At 34.2% G+C, this 19252-nt stretch overlaps 1 protein-coding gene across 14 annotated transcripts in view; it reads right to left on the bottom strand.

The window, feature by feature from the left end:
• The window catches only part of STXBP5 (syntaxin binding protein 5), a 186057-nt gene that overhangs the window by 164864 nt on the left and 1941 nt on the right, over nucleotides 1–19252 (bottom strand). The gene's annotated exons all lie outside the window — the stretch shown is intronic.

Below are 19252 nucleotides of genomic sequence, written 5' to 3'. Positions count from 1 at the left end.
ATGAAGAATGAGACAGTATCAAAACTGGTATATTCATTATAAATTGTTAATATTTTGTAAGATTATATATCTTTTCAGAGAATCTGTTCTTCAATTATTTTCAATGAGGAACAAGGCAAAGAAAAGTAATGATATTATTCTAATCTCTACAGAAGGGACATATTCAATTTCCAACCTAGGAATGGAAGACTAGAGTACACATAAAATAGAAAGCAACTGGAGAACTGTGATATCCGGTGAGGTTTCTGGAAATACATTTATATCTTGCAAAGTTTAAAGATAAGAATAAGGATCATGATATTTTCTATGAACTACATTTAGAAATGACAATAAGTTATCCTATAATAGTATATGTTTAATTATATAATATTCTGTGAAAGTAAATTTCTTTGAGTAGATATTCTCCTACTAAACCAAGAAAAAATTTAAGGGAAAACTGTTCCTTCTTACCACAGTAAAAAAGGTAAACCCAAGAGCACAATTTTAATTCATCAGAAACACTGAAGGTTAACCTCTCTTACCATTTCTTTCAGTACATTCTTTTACTTTCAGCAAACAGGGTAATTTAAACCTTTTTAAGTATTTTGATATGCCTTCAAAATGTTGCTACTCTGAATTGCCTTACTACTCTGAATAAAAAGTCAGTAGATGATTTTTACTTTTAATGGCCTAAGTCTTGAAGAGATTTAACCATAATGTGATTATTTTTCAATAACAAAGTTAAAATCTAAATACCACTGTAATGGGATCAAAGAATATTGATGGAAGCATTTGTGAAAAGAGGATGAGCTTTAGATTAGGACCAATACTGTCCTTTATTTTGTGTGAACATAAAAACAATTTAAAAAAATTGAGCATCATCAGAAACCTTTGATTTCTTCATCCACACTGTTATGGGGGATAAATGAAAGTCAATAAATAAAAGCAGCAGTACATGATACATTTATCCTACTAATGATAAAAAAATAAACTTTCTGTAAGTAGCAGGTTACCAGGAAAAAATGAAAATACATTAAATGATCTGTAATAACTAAAACAATCTAACTGTGCTGTAGTTTTCTCATCTGTGAAACGTCATTTGCATTCTTAACCTGATCAGTGTGAGGATCACCTGCAACTTAATTTTTAAATTTTATTTTAATTTAGTTTAGTTTAGTTCGGTTTATTTTATTTTATTTATCTGGAGACACAGTCTCAGTCTGTCTCCCAGGCTGGAGTTCAGTGGTGCAATCACAGTTCCCTACGACCTCTGCCTCCCGGCTGTGAAAGTGATTCTAGTGCCTCAGCCTCCCAGTAGCTGGGATTACAGGCATGCACCACCATGCCCGGCAAATTTCTTTATTTTTAGTAGAGACAGGGTTTCACCATATTGGCCAGGCTGGTCTTGAACTCCTGGCCTCAAATGATCCGCCTGCCTTGGCCTCCCAAAGTGCTGAGATTACAGGCATGTGCCATCGCACCTGGCCAAGCCCTGCATGTTTAAGAATAGACTTTTCAACCATAATTAGACTTCAAGGTCTTTTATATTGCTCGTTCTCTTGACCAGTGATAAACTGCTAGGAAGGAAAAACACCATAACTCAAGACCTGGAACTCCAGTTCCTTTCCAAATATTTCACGTAACAGTTTCACAGCCCTGTCTCCAAAGGCAGTGGCAGAACAAAAAGGCAGTGTATTTCCTCATGGTTACACCACAGATCTCAAGATGTTATGACTGCTTTAAAACGACATCCTCTCTATATACAGTAATTAACATGTTTCTTTTCTACCATCTGCCTAAGAATACTGCTACCCAGCCTGTCAAACACTTAAACCAGTATTTCTCAATTTTGGCTCTATATCACAAGCATCCACAAAGATTTAAAAAACAAAAAATTACAGATGTCATGCCCCTTGCCATACTCACTGAATCAGAAGCTCTAAAGAAGAAATCCAAGCATGTTTGGGCATTGTTTGTACATTTTGGTTTTTTCAGCTCCACAAATTATTCTAATGTATAGCCATAGTTGAGAAACACTGGGAAACCTTGTGGACATAAGTATAATTAAGCATTACCTTCCCTAAATAATCTATTTATATACATATAATCTATTAAATAACTTCTCTGATTTCCTTTTTTTCTAATTGAATAATCATGAATTCCCTATCTCCTCCCAGGTCTTATTTTCCAAATGTTTAATAATTTTCTACTCTCATCTAAATTAGCTTCTGACTGACTTAATAGAAATATGCTCAAAACAACAGTTTAGTAAGTCTTTACCAAAGATGAACATAATGAAGAGCACTTCATTTTGTATATTATGGGCTATGAATGTGCTTGCAATCCAAAGCCTTTGCCAACTGATTAATTACAGTTTTAGAGTACCCCATTCCATAGTTGCACCTACTTGATAAACGTCAGTTTTAAAACCTCTTTTTGAAGACCACCTATGTTTTCACCAATAAAAGTTAATATCAACTTCTCTTTTCCAGTGTAGTGTGTAAGGAGCATGGAAATCATTTTATCTTAACAAGAAGTAAAAAGCTGAACAAACTGGAAAATCAACAACTCTTCTTAAAGATCTGTAAGAGAAGTGAGACACAAGAAAAACCACTGCCCCCAAACTGGAAAGACAGACAGGTGGATACAGAGAATCACAACTTGCTGAAAGCAGAAACCCATAAGCACAAACCTCTGTGAAAACCTGTGTCCGGGTAAGGAAGCAAGCACTGTAACTGAGGAATAGCCGGAGGCTCAAAATAGGCAAGTCAGAAAGTCAAAAACTCCAGGGGAACCCAGTCATAGAGATGTCCCCACATCTTTGTAAATTTTACCTCTAAAGCTTGAGCAGGTTCTCACAATGAATATTGGAGAAAATTCCCTCATGCTACCAGCAGAGGGAAGAGAAAAGGCAACCATTTTTAAATATGCAAGAGCATATTCTGTTCTTAACAACAAGGACTGCCTTCAGAAATAACACTTTTACGAGAGCCTAACCTGCTGGGGTTTTATCAGGGACCAACTAACCTGAGAGAAGAAAAATCACTCCAGTGGGCCCAAGCCTTCCAAGTAAAGGAAGAGAAGTACGCAACTCCAGCCCACTTTAGCCATCTTATTCCACCTAAAAGGGAGTGGGAGGAAGTGTGGGGAGAAGAGATTAAGAAGCACTCCTGAAGTTCACAGTCCAAGAGCACAGACTCACTAAAAAACTGACACCTAATGACAGGACTATAGCACACTTCCCTTCCCCCCACACCATTACCAAAGGCCTATTTGCAGCAGTTCCTTTTACTTAGTACATCATGTCCCGATATCAGGAAAAAATTAAAAGGCAAAAAATACAGTTGGAAGAGATGGAGCAAGCATCAGAATCAGACTTCGAAATGGCAGTAATGTTGCAATTATCAGACTAGGAATTTAAAACAACCATGATTTATATGCTAAGGGCTCTAATGGATAAAGTACACAATACCAAACAACAGATGGGCAATATAAGCAGAACGATGGAAATTCTAAGAACCAGTCAAAAAGAAATGCTAGAATCCAAAAACACTTTAACAGAAGTAAAGAATGCCTTTGACAGACTCCATAGTAGTCTGGACACAGCTAAGGAAATAGTCTCTTAACCTGAGGATACCTCAACAGAAATGTCCAAAATTGAAAAGCAAAGAGAAAAAAAACTGGAAAAAAACAGAACAGAGTATCTGAGAACAGAGAGACAACAACAAAAGGCGTACATGTAACAGGAAAACCAGGAGAAGAGGGAACAGAAAGAAATATTTAAAGCAATAATGACTGTGAATTTCCTCTAAATCAATGTCGGATACCAACCACAAATTCGAGAAGCTAAGAAAATACCAAGCAGAATAAATGCTAAAAAAAAAAAGAAAGCTACACCTAGACATATTATATTCAAATTGCAGAAATCCAAAGATTAAAAAAAAATCTTGAAAGAAGCCATTGGAAAAAAACCCCTTACCAACAGAGGTGCAAAGATAAAAATTATTTCTGACTTCTCACAAGAAACCATGCAGGCAAGAAGAGAGAGAAATAAAACATTTAAAGTGCAGAAAGTTAAAAAAAAAAAAACTGGAATTCTGTACACTGCAAAATTAGCCTTCAAAACTGAAGAAGTAATGAAAACTTGCTCAAACAAAAACTGACAAAATGACCTGTGCTGCAAAAAATGTCAAAGTTGTTTTTTTCTTAAAGAAAATGACATAGATCAGAAACTCAGCTCTACATAAAGGAAGGCAGCATCAGAGAAATAGAGGCAAAAATAAAAACTTTTCTGTTTCTTAACTGATCTAGTAGTAATAGTTTCTTCAAAATAATAACAGCAACAATGTATCCAGTTTATGTATGTTTACATATATAAACACATATGCTTATATATAGGTGAAATGAATGACAGCAATGACATAAGTGATCAGAGTAAAGAATTACAATTTCTTTTTGTTATTACAAGGTACTCATATGACCTGTGAAGCAGTACAGTGTTCTTTCAAAGTAGACCCAGATTAACAGTAAATATATACTGCATATTCTAGAGCAACTATTTAAAAAAATAAAAGAAGTATAACTGATATGCTAAGAAACTGATATGCTAAGAAAGGAGAGAAAATGTGGAACCATATAAAATGGTCAATTAAAACCACAAGAGGCATAAAAAGAACGGGAAACAAAAATAGAAACAAAAACAAGGGCAACAAATAGAGAACAGTAACAAATATGGTAGGTATTATTTGAAGTATATCAACATTCACTTTAAACTTCAATGGCCTAAATGCACCAATTAAAAGACAGATTGTCAAAGTGGATCTAAAACTAAGACCCAGCTATACGCTGTCTGCAAGAAATTCACTTTAAATATAAAGACACATATAGAATAAAAGTAAATAGATGAAGAAAGATATGCCATGCTTTCACTAATCAAAAGAAAGCAAAGTAGCTATATTAATTTCAGACACAGACTTCAGACCAAGGAAAGTCATTAAAGTGGGGCATTACAAAATGAAAAAAGAGTCAATTCTCCAAGAACCACAACAATCCTTAAGGTGTATGCACCTAAGAACAGAGTGTCAAAATATATGAGACAAAAACTCATAAAACTGCAAGGAGAAATATATGAATCCGCTATTACAGTTGTAAACTTTAACATCCCTCTATCAGAAATGGACAGATCCAGCAGGCAGAAAAAAAGTGCCAACAGAGCTGAACTCAACACCATTCTTTACCAACTAGATATAATGGACATCTACAGTCTACGTTATCCAATAACAGCAAAACACACATTCTTCTCAAACTCACATGGAACATTAACCAAGACAGAATATATTCTGGGCCATAAAATATACCTCAAAAAATTTGAAAGAATAGAAACTATACAATGTCTGCTCTTGGAACATAATGGAAGTAAACTAGAAATCGATAACAAAAAGAGAGCTGGAAAATCCCAAAATATGTAGAGATTAAACAAAACAATTCTATTAACACTTGGGTCAAAAAAGATATTAAGAGAGAATTTTTTAAATGTTTTGAACTAAATAAAAATGAAAACAACTTATCAAAATTTATGGGAAACACAGAAAATAGTACTTAAAGGGAATTTATAGCATTGAATTCATATATATTAAAGAAGAAACAGGTAAAATCAATCACTTCTGCTTTAAGAAACTACAAAAAGAAGAGGAAACTGAACCCAAAGTAAACAGAAGAAAATAAATAATAACAGTTAAGGAAGAAATCAGTGAAACTGAATACAGGAGATCAAAAGAGAAAAATCAACAAAACTAAAAGCTGCTTCCTTCAAAAAAAAAAAAAAAAAAAAACAAGCTTCTAGCCATGCTAAGGAAAAAGGAGAGGGGACACAAATTACTAACATCAGAAATGAAAGACAGACATCACTTTAATTTCCATGGACATTAAAAGAATAAAGGAATACTAAAAACAAATCTATGCCCACAATTTTGATGACACAGATGAAATGGACCGACCAACTCCTTAAAAAATACAATCTACCAAAACTCAGACAAGAAGAAACAATCTGAATAGGCTTCTATACATTAAAGAAACTGAATCAATTAATAGATTCCCAAAATAGAAAGTACCAGGACCAGATGGGTTGACTGGTGAATTATAACAAGTTTCTAGTCTCTTTCAGAAGATAAAGGCAGAGGAAATATATCCTAACTCATTTTATGAGCCCAGCATTACACTAATATGAATACCAAAGGCATTACGAGAAAAGAAAACTAAGATCAATCCTTCTCATGAAGATGGATGCAAAAATTCTCAATACAATTTTTACCAAACTGAATTCAACAGTGTATAAAAAGAATCACACAGCATGACCAAATGGGATTTATACCAGGTATGCAAGTCTAGTTCAACATTTGAAAACATTTAGAAAACATTTTTCTAAAAAAAGAAAAATCACATGATTATATCAACTGATGCAGAAAATCCAACACTCATTCCAGATAAACACTGTCGGTAAACTACGAATACAGGTGAAGTTGCTCAACTTGATAAAGAACATCTACATAAAAACTACAGCTAACACACTTAATAGCAAAACACTCAAAGCTTCTCCACTACAATCAGAAACAAGGCAAGGATATCCCTCTTATCACGCCTTTCAACACTGTAATGGGAGCACCAGCTAATGCAATGAGCAAAGGAAATAAAAGGTATGCACATAGATTAGGAAGAAAGAAAGAAAACTTTCTTTGTTCATTGATAACATGATCAACTATGCAGCTATCAGAAAGAATGAACAGAAAAACTCCTGCAACCAATATGTGATTATAGCAAGGTGGCCAGGATATGCAAGGTTAACATACAAAACTCATTCACACCCAGGCACAGTGGCTTATGCCAGTAAACCCCAGCACTTTGGGATGTGAGATCACTGCAGCCCAGGAGTTCAAGACAAGCCTGGCCAACATGCCAGGACCTTGTCTCTACAACAAATTTAAAAATTAGTTGGGTGTGATGGTGTGCACCTGTGGTCCCAGTTACTCAGGAGGCTGAGGTGGAAGGATTGCTCGAGCCCAGGAGATCGAGGCTGCAGTGAGCTGTGTTTGTACCACTGCACTCCAGCCTGGGAAACAGAGCAAGACTGTCTCTAAAAAAGAAAAAAAAACCAAAAAACATAGTCATTCATTTTCTTATATACCAGAAAAGAACCAGTGGAATTTGAAATAATTAATTTGAAATTATTTGAAATTTATATTAGCACCCCAAAAAATGAAATACTTAAATATAAATCTAACAAATATGTACAAGATCTACACGAAGAACAGCACAAAACTCTGCAGAGTGAGAATATTCTGTATGATATTATAATGATGAAAGACATGTAATTATATTTGTCTAAACACATAAAATGTGCAAAGAATGAGCCCTATCATAAACTATGGACTTTGGATGAAAATGATGTGTCAATGTAGATTCAATGTACCACTCTGCTGATAATGGAGGAGGCTACGAATGTTTTGGGACAGGCAGGGAGTATATATAATATCTCTGTACCTTCCACTTACTTTTGCTGTGAACCTAAAACTGCACTAAAAAATGAAGTCTATTTAGAAAATATATTAAAAATGAAGATAGCCACATCATCATGATAAGAGTAGGCAAAATTAATTTTTACTGCTTACTCAATGCTTATATTCTGCTAATCTCATTTAAGAAAAACTACAAAATGAACTATTTCTGCAGTAAAAATTTAACAAGATGCTAAGAATAGCCATGAAAAATGTGCACATCAACATTTAAAACTTTAAGTCAAGACAACTGTAACATTTTACAAATGTCCAACAGTATCTGAAAATTTAGGTCGGTCAACTGCTTTTTTGTTTTAATGTGAATAAAACAAGCACCAAAACAGAAAAGTAATTGCAACATTCAGACTAATACATAATTATAGTATTCACTGGGTTGGAATAAGCCTCTAGTTACCTCCTTCCACTATTATTTTTAGTAAGAAATTTTTTATTATTTGTGAACAAATTAGAGTGGTTGAAAACAATCATTCTTAATATTCACTGTTTTGGAGTTAGGACTGTTTTTGAAGAGGCAAAAATGAATTATATTTGTCATCACAGGCAATTCTTTAGAATGGCTTTTGATAGATAAATATACTTTTAAAGGAACCACTTGCTCAAACTACTATTTACTACGTAGTCATAAATAATAGTGGTCTGGGTTAAATGAACAAGAAAGAATGTAAATTCTCACATATAAGTAAAAACAGCTTTTTATCCCAGCATCCATTCCCAGATGCCTAATGGCTAAGTTCTTTTCTCAAGTATGTTAAGTGAATTTTAAAAGAAAAATACAACACATTATGAAAAATACAGTACAAAGACTGAACAGATGGAAAAATCTGTTTCAACACTTTTTTTTTTCCTTTTCAAAAGACAAAAAGAGACAAACGCACAAAGGAAAACCATTTAGCAGAAAGTACTGCAATAGCTGATGCGGCCAGATTTATAGTCACCTTTGACAGAGAGCTGCTGTGAAACAGCAGAGGTACTGCCATCACAAGAAAAGATTACGTACTTTAAAGAAAGAGCAGGATTAAGCACTCAACAAACAACTTCACAAGGAAAAGCTTCAAAGTTCCAGACTGCACTTATTTGAAAATAAAAAACAAGACCAAACACTATTATTAAAACACCTCCAATTGTTTAAAACTTGCTGTTTAACAATAGCTACCATGTGAGTTCTAGGACTCGTCATATATCTTACAAATAACAAGCTGTATAAAGCAAACCTTATTTTTCAAATGAAGATTAATATAAAACAAAAATTATCAGCTATTTTTTATTTAAAAACCTTTCTGGGTGAATGCTCACGTTAAAATCATAGCTCCAATAAATATAAAGAAATATGCTCAGCATGTTATCATTTCATTTATTTGTCATATATATATTTTTACATATACTTCCAAAAGAATACTAGTTGGAGAAATGGAATCAAGTAAAAATTAGCCTCATTTACTAAATAAAATTATATCTATATTTACTGCTACTGGATAATGCAAAGAGTGGTCAGTGGGCAACTATAAAATATTTTCAAAAAGTAGATAAAATTTCAGTTTCCAATGAAATTACCATATATGTTCTTTCCAACAAGAGGCATGTAATATATCTGATTCTAAAGAAAGTGGCCAAGAATCTGAATTTTATTCTGGGAGCCTTATGAATTTTTTTGTTTTGTTTTTTGTTTTTGACATGGAGTCTCACTCTATCGCTCAGGCTGGAGTGCAGTGGCGCAGTCTCAGCTCACGGCAACCTCCGCCTCCCAAGTTCAAGTGATTCTCCTGCCACAGCCTCCCAAGTAGCTGGGATTACAGGCACCTGCCACCACGCTCGGCAAATTTTTATATTTTTAGTAGAGACGGGGTTTCACCATGTTGGTCAGGCTGGTCTCAAACTCCTGACCTCAAGTGATCCGCCTGCCTCAGCCTCCCAAAGCGCTGGGATTACAGGCGTGAGCAACCGTGCCCAGCCATGAATTTTTAAAAAATACATTATTCATTTTTCAGGTAGTTTTTTCCCGGTTATTTTTGACAAACATCTGTAACATCAAAGAAGTCACAATATTTTAATAAAATGCTTACATTCACTTTTATCTTTAAAGGCATCTATCTAAATGTACCTACACATATGTATATGATATTAAGAAAGATATTAAGAAAAAGCTACAAAGGCAAGTATATTTTTAATTAAAATTAGGAAGTCAAGCTAAACACTTCAATAATTGAGCTAATCATTAAACTACCCTCAAAGGATGCCTAATTAAGCTACCTTTATTATTATACTAATCATAATTCCAGAGATAACACACCTCTCACAAGATTTAAAAAAAACCTATAAAAATAATTTACCTTGATATATAGAGTTACTATGTATTATTAAAAATTACTGATTAAAAAATTGGCTCGGCGCAGTGGCTCACGCCTATAATGCAAGTACTCTAGGAGGCTGAGGTGGGCGGATGGTTTGAGCTCACGAGTTCGAGACCAACCTAAGCAACATGACAAAACCCAGGCTCTACAAAAAAATACAAAAATTAGCCAGGCGTGGTGGCGTGCACCTGGAGTCCCAGCTACTTGGGGGACTGAGGTGGGAGGATCCCTTGAGCCTGGGAGGCAGAGGTTGTAGTGAGCCGAGATAGCACCACTATACTCCACCTGGGCGACAGAGCCAGACCTTGTCTCAAAACAAACAAACAAACAAAAAAAAATTACTGATTCTTTTTAAGACTCTTATTTGTGACAAAAGGTTAAATTTCAACTAGTAACAAGTGCTACTAATGAAGTTTAAATTTAAAAATGTATTTCTTACTGAACATTCTTCTCTGTATATCCTTTAAAAACAAGTCAGGCTGATAAACTAAGGCAGAGATTGGAAAACTTTGGCCTGTGGGCCAAATCCAGCCAACTGCTTGATTTTATAAATAAAGTTTTACTGACGCACACTTATTCATTAGATATTGTTTATGGTTGCATTTGTGCTAATATAGAAGCAGAGTTGAGTAGCCGTCACAGAGACCATAAAGCCTACCATAATTTGCTATCTGGTCTTTTACAGGAAATGTTCACTGACTCCTACAGACTCAGATCTTCTTTAAGTGTCTGCACACACACACATACTCATCCACCCTATGATCCTTACTGAAGGACATAAAGTTGATCATTTAGGAATCTGTGTGTTCCCTCATCTTGATTTTATAATTTATACACTCCTACTGTCTTAATTTCCGGACTCTTGATAAAGGAGAGGATACTGGCTGATTTTGCTGATTTGCATTACTTTGGACTGCACGGTATTTTTTCATACCCTGTAACATTCTTCGTAGTTTATTTTAAAAGAAAATGCCATTCCATATTACAGCTACAATTTCCAAAAGGTCTATTTTTAGACATTTAATGTCACATATTACTTATAAAGAAATGGCAATGCGGAAATCAAAATTTTAAAGGCTCAACTAAGAAAAAGATGGCTAAATAGGATGGAAGTTGGGATGGAATCAAACCAAAACATATATCACAAAGACATTGGGTTTTAAACATAAGAATTATTTAAACAGAGAAAAGTTTATTCTAGACTTAAGGACTCACTAAACACATGGCCATTGAGGAACACTCACTAGTAAGCAGTAAACTATGTCAACAATTCTTACCCCTACCTCCTTCACCTCAGCTTACCTTCCACTCATGGCCAAAAGAAAAAAGATAAGTTACATGGTAAACAGAGCTGGTGTCCAAAATTTATTTAAAAGTAAATATGAGGAAAATAAGAGATTAAACCAACCAACTAGAATTGCTAAATCTGAAAGTAGATGATGGCAATATACTTATTCAGAAATATTAAGAATGATAATACAGATATACAGAAGATCATGAAAAAGTCCTTATTTTTATTACTGCTAATAAACATCAGAAATGCGTTCAAATTAAAGTGCAAAATAATTGTATTGTATAGAAACCTGAATGTCTCTACAGGAAGTCTAAGTAACTAAATTAGAAAGCACCATAACTTCTCCTTAGAATAATGTGTGCTGCATATGACTAAGGGAAGAGAAATGTATCAAGTACCTTTTGGCAGTTTTTTATTATTATAGTTTTATGAACTCTTGGTTTATTTCATAAAAATCATGTCAGTAATCACTTTGTTTTGCTTCCCAAGAACTTCTGTAGAACTATATTATGTTTAAAATCTATCTTAATTCAAATTCAAATCTAAAAGGTATTAATAGTGAAATGCCCTTTTCTTTATATCAATCTGTTATACTCTTAAACAGATAAACATCTGTTTAGGTCAAACCAAAAAAACTATTTCCTTATCTGCCATCCCAAAATACCAAGTATACCTTCTGAAGATGCTAATATAGCAAATCAGGTCAGGAAACTTTCATTTAAACATCGAAAACAAATACACATTCTGATTATTACTAATTATTACTGCTACACTACTGATATCCTAATTATTAATTTTCTTCTTGTAGCTGGGAACAGTAGCTCATAATCTTTAATCCCAGCTTGAGCCCAGGGGACCAGCCTCAGCAACATAGTATGACCCCATCTTTGCAAGAAAGAAAAAAATAAAAGAAAAAGAAAAAATATATATATGCGCGCGCACACACACACACACACACACACACACACACACACACACACACATATATAAAATTATGTGAGCCAGGTGAGGTGGCTCACATCTGTGGTCCCAACTACTTGGCAAGCTGAGGCAGGAAGATCGTTTGAGCCCGGGAGGTCTAGGCTGCAGCGAGCTGTGATTGTGCCACTGTATTCCAGAAAGAAACCCTATCTCAAAAAAAAAAAAGAAAGAAAAAATTCTTCTTGTAAATAATTGCCTCTTCCAGTGCATAAAGGTAAAGCCAAATTGATCCAACAATTAAGCTTATCTTTAGTGATACTCAAACCTATAGTCCAGTTACTTACATGTACATGCCCAGCAATTATTACTCCAAGTTATTACACTATACAATTACCAAATTTAGTACTCAAATTACATACTAGCAATTCAAGAGAGACAGTCTCTATTAATAAATCTCTAAAGATTATTAAGATCATGTGATTAGGAACTCAATATTCTTGTTTAAGTTAATTTATTTTAATTTTACATCCTGACATTTAACAACCAAGGAAGAAGGTGAATTTTGTTAATGGTATTAAAAAAAAGTCCTGGTTTCCTATTTCATAATGAGACCTTATCTGTTATACACAGAAAATGCTACAAACCACCATCTTAGTATTCAATGTGAGCTACTGTTTCAAGGAAAGACATTTGTGTTAGTTCATTCACATGCTCTTTCCTGGTCCCTTCTGTAAACAAAGGTTTACACTTGTGCTTCTACTGACTTGGATTATGAATGTAGTCAATGGACACAAAGCTGAGGGAGCCGCAATGGTATGGAGTCTAACACTTCATTCTCTTTAACAGGAACTCAGAGCAATCAACCAGAAGATCCCTCTACAGGAACACAGTCCAAAGAATTCCTAAATCCCCCCACAGAAAAAGAAATTCTAAGGTCCAAAAGTTGGAAGGATTCTTGGAAATAACACATCCCAATTTCCTCATTTTACAAGAAAGGAAACTGAAGCACAGAGATTTTAGTTGACTTATACAAGGTAAGTCTGAAGATTATTGGAACAAGAATCTCCTAATAATAAGGCAATTCTTCCAAAATGCCTTTACTTTTTCCTTTAGGATGGCAAAGTTAGGTTGTAATTTCAAATGAATCATACTGAAAACCAAACAGAAAACAAAGAATATCCAACAGAGATAAAAACTCATCTTACTTAAAGCAGAAAGGCTTACAAAGCACGGACTTGAATCTCCAATAGTTAACATATTCTTTTCAATTCCATGGTTTCTATCACATTTGTTTCCTTCCACAAGAAATCCACTGCGAAATAAACTGTTTCCAAGCAGATTCCATTTCTGGTTGTTCTGAAATAAATGTGCCTATTCCTCCTGCTGCGGTAGTCCATGCTAAGAATCACAACTTACAGCTGATACAGCACTTATTCTTCCTTTTATGCAATGTCCTCTTGAATGAGGAGCTAAAGGAGCTAACAGTTGAGATATGAGCTGAGTATTTCAAGCTCCTTGTTTCTCCTGCACAACTACAATTCCAAATGACCGGAACTCTTCCATGAACAAAAAAGGATGGAGGAGGAGGAAAGTAGCTATGAACAAAAATGATGGGGAGGGAGAAGAATGGATAAAATCTGGCGTGGTGGCTCATGCCTGTAATCTCAGCGTTTTGGGAGGTTGAACTCAGGAGTTCAAGACCAGCCTGGACAATATGGTGAAACTCTGTCTCCGCCAAAAATAAAACAAAATAGTGGTGGCACACACTTGTGGTCGCAAATACTTGGTAGGCCAAGGTAGGAGGATTGCTTGAGCCTAGAAGGTGGAGGCTGAAGTGAGCTATAATCCTGCCACTGCATGCCAGGGTAACAGAGTAAGACCCCGACTCAAAATAAACAAACAAACAAAACACACTGGCTAAATTCTAAACTAATTATTTTACTTTTAATTATTTCAAATGAAAATCATTTCCATTTTTTTTCCATGGTATAATTATGTTTTATATAATAAAATTAAGTAGCAAGTCAAAATATTCTAATGCTATCTTGTAAGTACAGTACAGAAAGTCATTAATCAATTTAGCATTTACCATATGTGAGAAACTTTCACATACATTATTATTACATCTAAGTAGCAATTTTGAAAACTTGTGGTTGAGAAGAACACAACCTTTTTTTTTTTTTTTTTTGAGACAGAGTCTTGCTCTGTTGCCCAGGCTGGAATGCAGTGGCACAATCTTGGCTCACTGCAACCTCTGCCTCCCGGGTTCAAGCGATTCTCCTGCCTCAGCCTCTGAGTAGCTGGGATTACAGGCGTGCACCACCACGCCAGGCTAATTTTTGTGTTTTTAGTAGAGATGGGGTTCCACCACGTTGGTCAGGCTGTTCTCAAACTCCTGACCTCATGACCGCCTGCCTTGGCCTCCCAAAGTGCTGGGATTACAGGCGTGAGCCTCTGTGCCAGGCTGAACACAACCATTTTAAAAACAAACTCAAAGAAAAGAACAGTGCTTTTCAGTATCTTTTCCTCAAAGTTTGTATTAGCTACAAAAATAAATGAAATGAAGTCCTTCCTACACAGTTGCCACTCAGTATTCGCTGAGAGAAATGAAGGACCTGAAAATTAAAGCCACAGAAAAACTCTCATATTAATAATAATCATGTATTATAATAATAATGTAATAATCATGTATCCACCACAATATCCCTTCATGATCGTAAAAGCTACACACACACATTTTATTAGATTTAATCGTGACAATAACCTCACAAGCTAGGTAGGGTTATTATTCTTATTTAACTGGTGAAGAACTTGGGCTAAATGCAGTGGTTCTCAACCAGGGGCACCTGGAAGTGTGTTGGAGGGTCTGGGTTGCCACACTGACAGGGGAGGCAACATGGGCATTTAGTAGGTGGGAGACGGGGATATTAAATATCCTGCAATGTGCTGGACAAACCCACAGAATTATTCTGCCCAAAAAGCTACCACTTTGAGAAACACTGACAGAAAATAAATGGACAATGCCAAACAGCTACTAATGACCTTAAATATAAATTCAGTAACAAAATTCTGGAAATCACCAAGGACCAGCCAAAAAAAACCAAAACAAAACAGTGAAAGTATATCAAATTCTCACACTAAAATAAGAAGTCTAGGCTACTCTCCCAAAATGATAATACAATAAAAGTTAAAGATAACATAATTTCAAACTCAACATTTCTCTGCCACTTCTTTGCCAAGTTTTTCACTTCGCTTGTAATTGCCTCATTACTTTACTTGCAAAACCTTATCATCTTTAGTTACTCCCTAAGATTTTATACAAACAAGTCAAGCCCTTCTCCAATTCCCATTCTGCCACCCCTGTTTTGGATTCACTTTACTACCTATATGGATTAATAATTTTCTGTGAAGTTCACTTGGTCCATTCTTTTCACCTATACCACTACTCCACTAATCATGCTAAAAAATCATGCTTTCTTCCTGTCAGCATCTCCTATTACATAACTATGATTCCTAACTGAATATCATGCAGATACCTCAGGTTAAAATTGCAGACCCTCAACAGCCTCCTTATTTCTCCTGCTAACTCAATTATTCCAACTAGCCTCATTAGTATTCCTCCAAACTCGCATAATTCCCTTTTCCATGCTTTTGCCCATACTGTTTTCCTTGCCTAGAATAATTTTCCCACTCCTTCCTCCCTGTCATTCTGAATACTTATCTACCAATGTATAGAAATGTTCATCAAATGCAACAAATTTACATGTAACCTGACTTTGTGTAATGTCAGTAGAGCCCCAAATAATTCTCAAATTTCAACTGCTTATTTAGTTCCAGTCCTTTGGTTAGAACTGGAAACTTTTTGAAGGAAGGATCACATTTTCATTTCTTTTGTATTACTCCTCTAGAATACATAGCTACTTGAAATCATAAAATTCTTCCTTGAAGAAATCATTTAATACTGCACCTTCATTTTTATAGTAAGGAAAAAAAAAACTAATTCAAGGACATGTAATTATTTAGTGGAAAGCGAAGAACCAGAATTCAGGCCACAATTTATAATCTAATGTTGTCTGACACTCAAGTGCTTGTTAAATCAACTGTAAGGTAAAAAAATCACTTTGTAAGCCTGTCTCCAGCAACATTACTCTGCATTAAAAGACAATCCATGCCTCATCAAAACAGAGATTGTCTATTTCACTGTATTTTCCACCAGTCAAGAAGACAATGAATGAGGTTCTTCGATAATAATTTGACAATTCATTTTTAAACCTCAAATTTTTACACAAGTTCAGTAAACCTGAAATTCCATTTTTCTGCTCAGTCCTTGAAATATTCATATATATAATGACCTCATTGTGTTTAGAAAAAAAATTTACTTTAAAAATAAGATCAGGGTAACCCATGATTAAAGTATGAAGCAATTTGAAATTTTAGTAGTAAATCAGAAGTCTAGATAAAGACAGTAACATTATTAAAAATACCTTCATTCTTCAATCTCATATTCTCTCCAGAAGCCAAGAAGGTTTAGCATTCAGCATATTTATATCATATGTCATTTGCTATACATTAATGTAGTAAATACATTTAATTTATTTTGCCTCATAATTTGTTATGTATTATTAAAGGATTAAGATTTTTCACTAATCCTTGTCTACAAACATTAGCTATCAGATATATCTTTCTTCTTTGATTTTTTGGTTTTAACCCAGAGTAGATAAATCAATTTAGTAAAGTCTTCTAACATTTAGGAAGATATTCATCAGTCAAATTACATACACATTTGGAATTGTAATAGCCTAATCTTACTTCTGAAAACATCGCCTACTTTTCAATCTGCAAGGAAAATACTTTATCTAGAAGTCTATTTTCTGCTCTAATGATATCTTTTAGGATAACTGTGTTACAGACTACAAGAGTCTAATACAAGAAGAGAATAAAGGATCAAAAGAAACCAATTACAATAGGAAAATATACAAAAGATCCAAGTCAAAATATACACACTTGTAGTAAATCTGCACGTTAACCAAATGTGGAGATTCGGAATTTAGGTGTCCAGTTTCAAAAATAACAAAGAAAGAGACACTAACATATACCTGAAAGCACATATATGGAAAATGAGATAAAATAAAAAGGGCTTAGTCATTTTCTATAAATCAGAACCATAATAAATAAAGCTCATAAGCTCATCTGCTACTTAAACCCAACAGAAGGAATGACTAGGTGGTATTACTGGCAAGCAAGCCAATTTAGCACTCTGGAATGTCCATAGAAATCTCATAAAAAGGCAAAGTAGAAGGTAATTTAGTAAACAGTTTTCCATACTTCATTCTTAGTAAGGAGGTTCTAAAAAAAAACTTTAGAGTATAATTGCAAACTATAATTACAGGTTCACTTTTATTCACATAATATTTAACTATAGAAAGTACACCAAAAGTTATATACAAGTGACAATTTTGGCCACCTGATCCTTGATTTTAATTGGCAATTCACACTAGGCCTAACGCTTTACACCTTTTGTGCCAACTTGCTAATTACACAAATGCATTAGGGTAAAAGTGTTGTCTAAGAATCTGGTTTTATAAAATCAGCCTTGCTGGTGGTACTCACTTATAATTATACTAAATTATAAAAGGGCCAGATTGGATGTTACAAGGAAAAGAGGTTATTTACCAAAAGAATGTCGAGACCACACTGGGAAAACAATAAAACCTAAACTCATTTTACAGAAAAGCAAAATAAGGGAAAAATAGCTGATTTAATTCAACTTTACTTTCCTTCTTCTAGTCCAGTTATGAAATTATCTTGTTGGGAAAAAAAAGAAACTGCTTTCAGTTCCAAAGAATGCATCTAGATCCAACGCTGTACTAGTCTCGTCACTACAGAGTTTTGCTGAACACTCAGGGCCCACACTGACAAAATAACTTCATTCCCGTCTTCACACAACCCTAAACTAGATGGTCTTGATCACTGAGTTCAGGAATAAAAATATCTAACAATTGAAGCCAAAAAACATTCTGGTCATAACTATCTAGATATTTGGGCAAGAGCACTTCAGACACACCGTCTCAGAAATTAACAGATTCAGATCTAGCCTGGTCAGATTTTGTCGTTTATAAAGGTATGACTGCGTAGTATTTACTATGTATAGTAGACTTCACTTAGTAACACAGTTCAATAGTCCATCCTAAAACTTCTATTAGCATTTTGAAGATAGCACATTAAGTGACAAATAAAACTTGAGGCATTATCTATCTATCTATCTATACATATATATATATTTGTATGTATCACATAGTACTTCTTTGAAATAATGACTTTAAAATGTAAGTAAAATGCCTGGCACATGTTTAACTCAAATGCAGGTTCCCTCACTCCTTCTCAGGAACCAGAAAAATCTAAAATATAAAGGGGTAAAGCTCCTCCCCTATCGTATATTTCTTTTCTTTTTTTTGACAATAGTAATGTCTACTGAAATCATCTAGTGATTTTTTTTTTCTATTTATCACCAACACATTACTCATTAATATGCAGGAGGTAGATATCCCACAGATAGATGAATCCAAATCTTAAGTTTAAGAATATATTTAGGTTAAGTATGTTTCAAAGTCACAGTAAAAGAAAACACATTTCAACATAAAAATAGAAAGTGAGTCGTCTGTACTGTTCTCACTAAAAAATTATCTTGAAAAAAATCTTTTGAAGTATTTAAAAAAATGCTTGATAAAACTAATATAGTTCATACACAACCAGGAAAAGTAATTCTATACTACTAGTTTAATGTATAGTAACCTAACAGTTTTTACAAATACATAACAAATGTAGACTATGAGAGAAAAAGTATATCAAGAGAAAAAATTTATCCCCATGCATTTTTCAAGAAAACGCTCTAAAAACTGGTAGAAATATTAACCATTTATAACTATTCATAGAAAATTAATTTGCTACACTTCTGCTAATTGTTTTTCTACACGGACATGCCAAAAACAACCAAATTCAGATTGAAATCCAATCTCTAATTTATTAGAATAGGTCATAAGTTCAATATCTACCATGCATAATATTTTTAAAAGTAATTGTCTTTAAACCTCATCCTTAACATACCTCATTCATCACACCAATAGTATAGAAGCAGATAT

Source organism: Homo sapiens, chromosome 6 (assembly GCF_000001405.40).
Source record: "Homo sapiens chromosome 6, GRCh38.p14 Primary Assembly".
Lineage (NCBI taxonomy): Eukaryota > Metazoa > Chordata > Mammalia > Primates > Hominidae > Homo > Homo sapiens.
The sequence above is the reverse complement of the archived record's forward strand: the minus strand, read 5'-3'. Positions and strand labels throughout refer to the sequence as shown.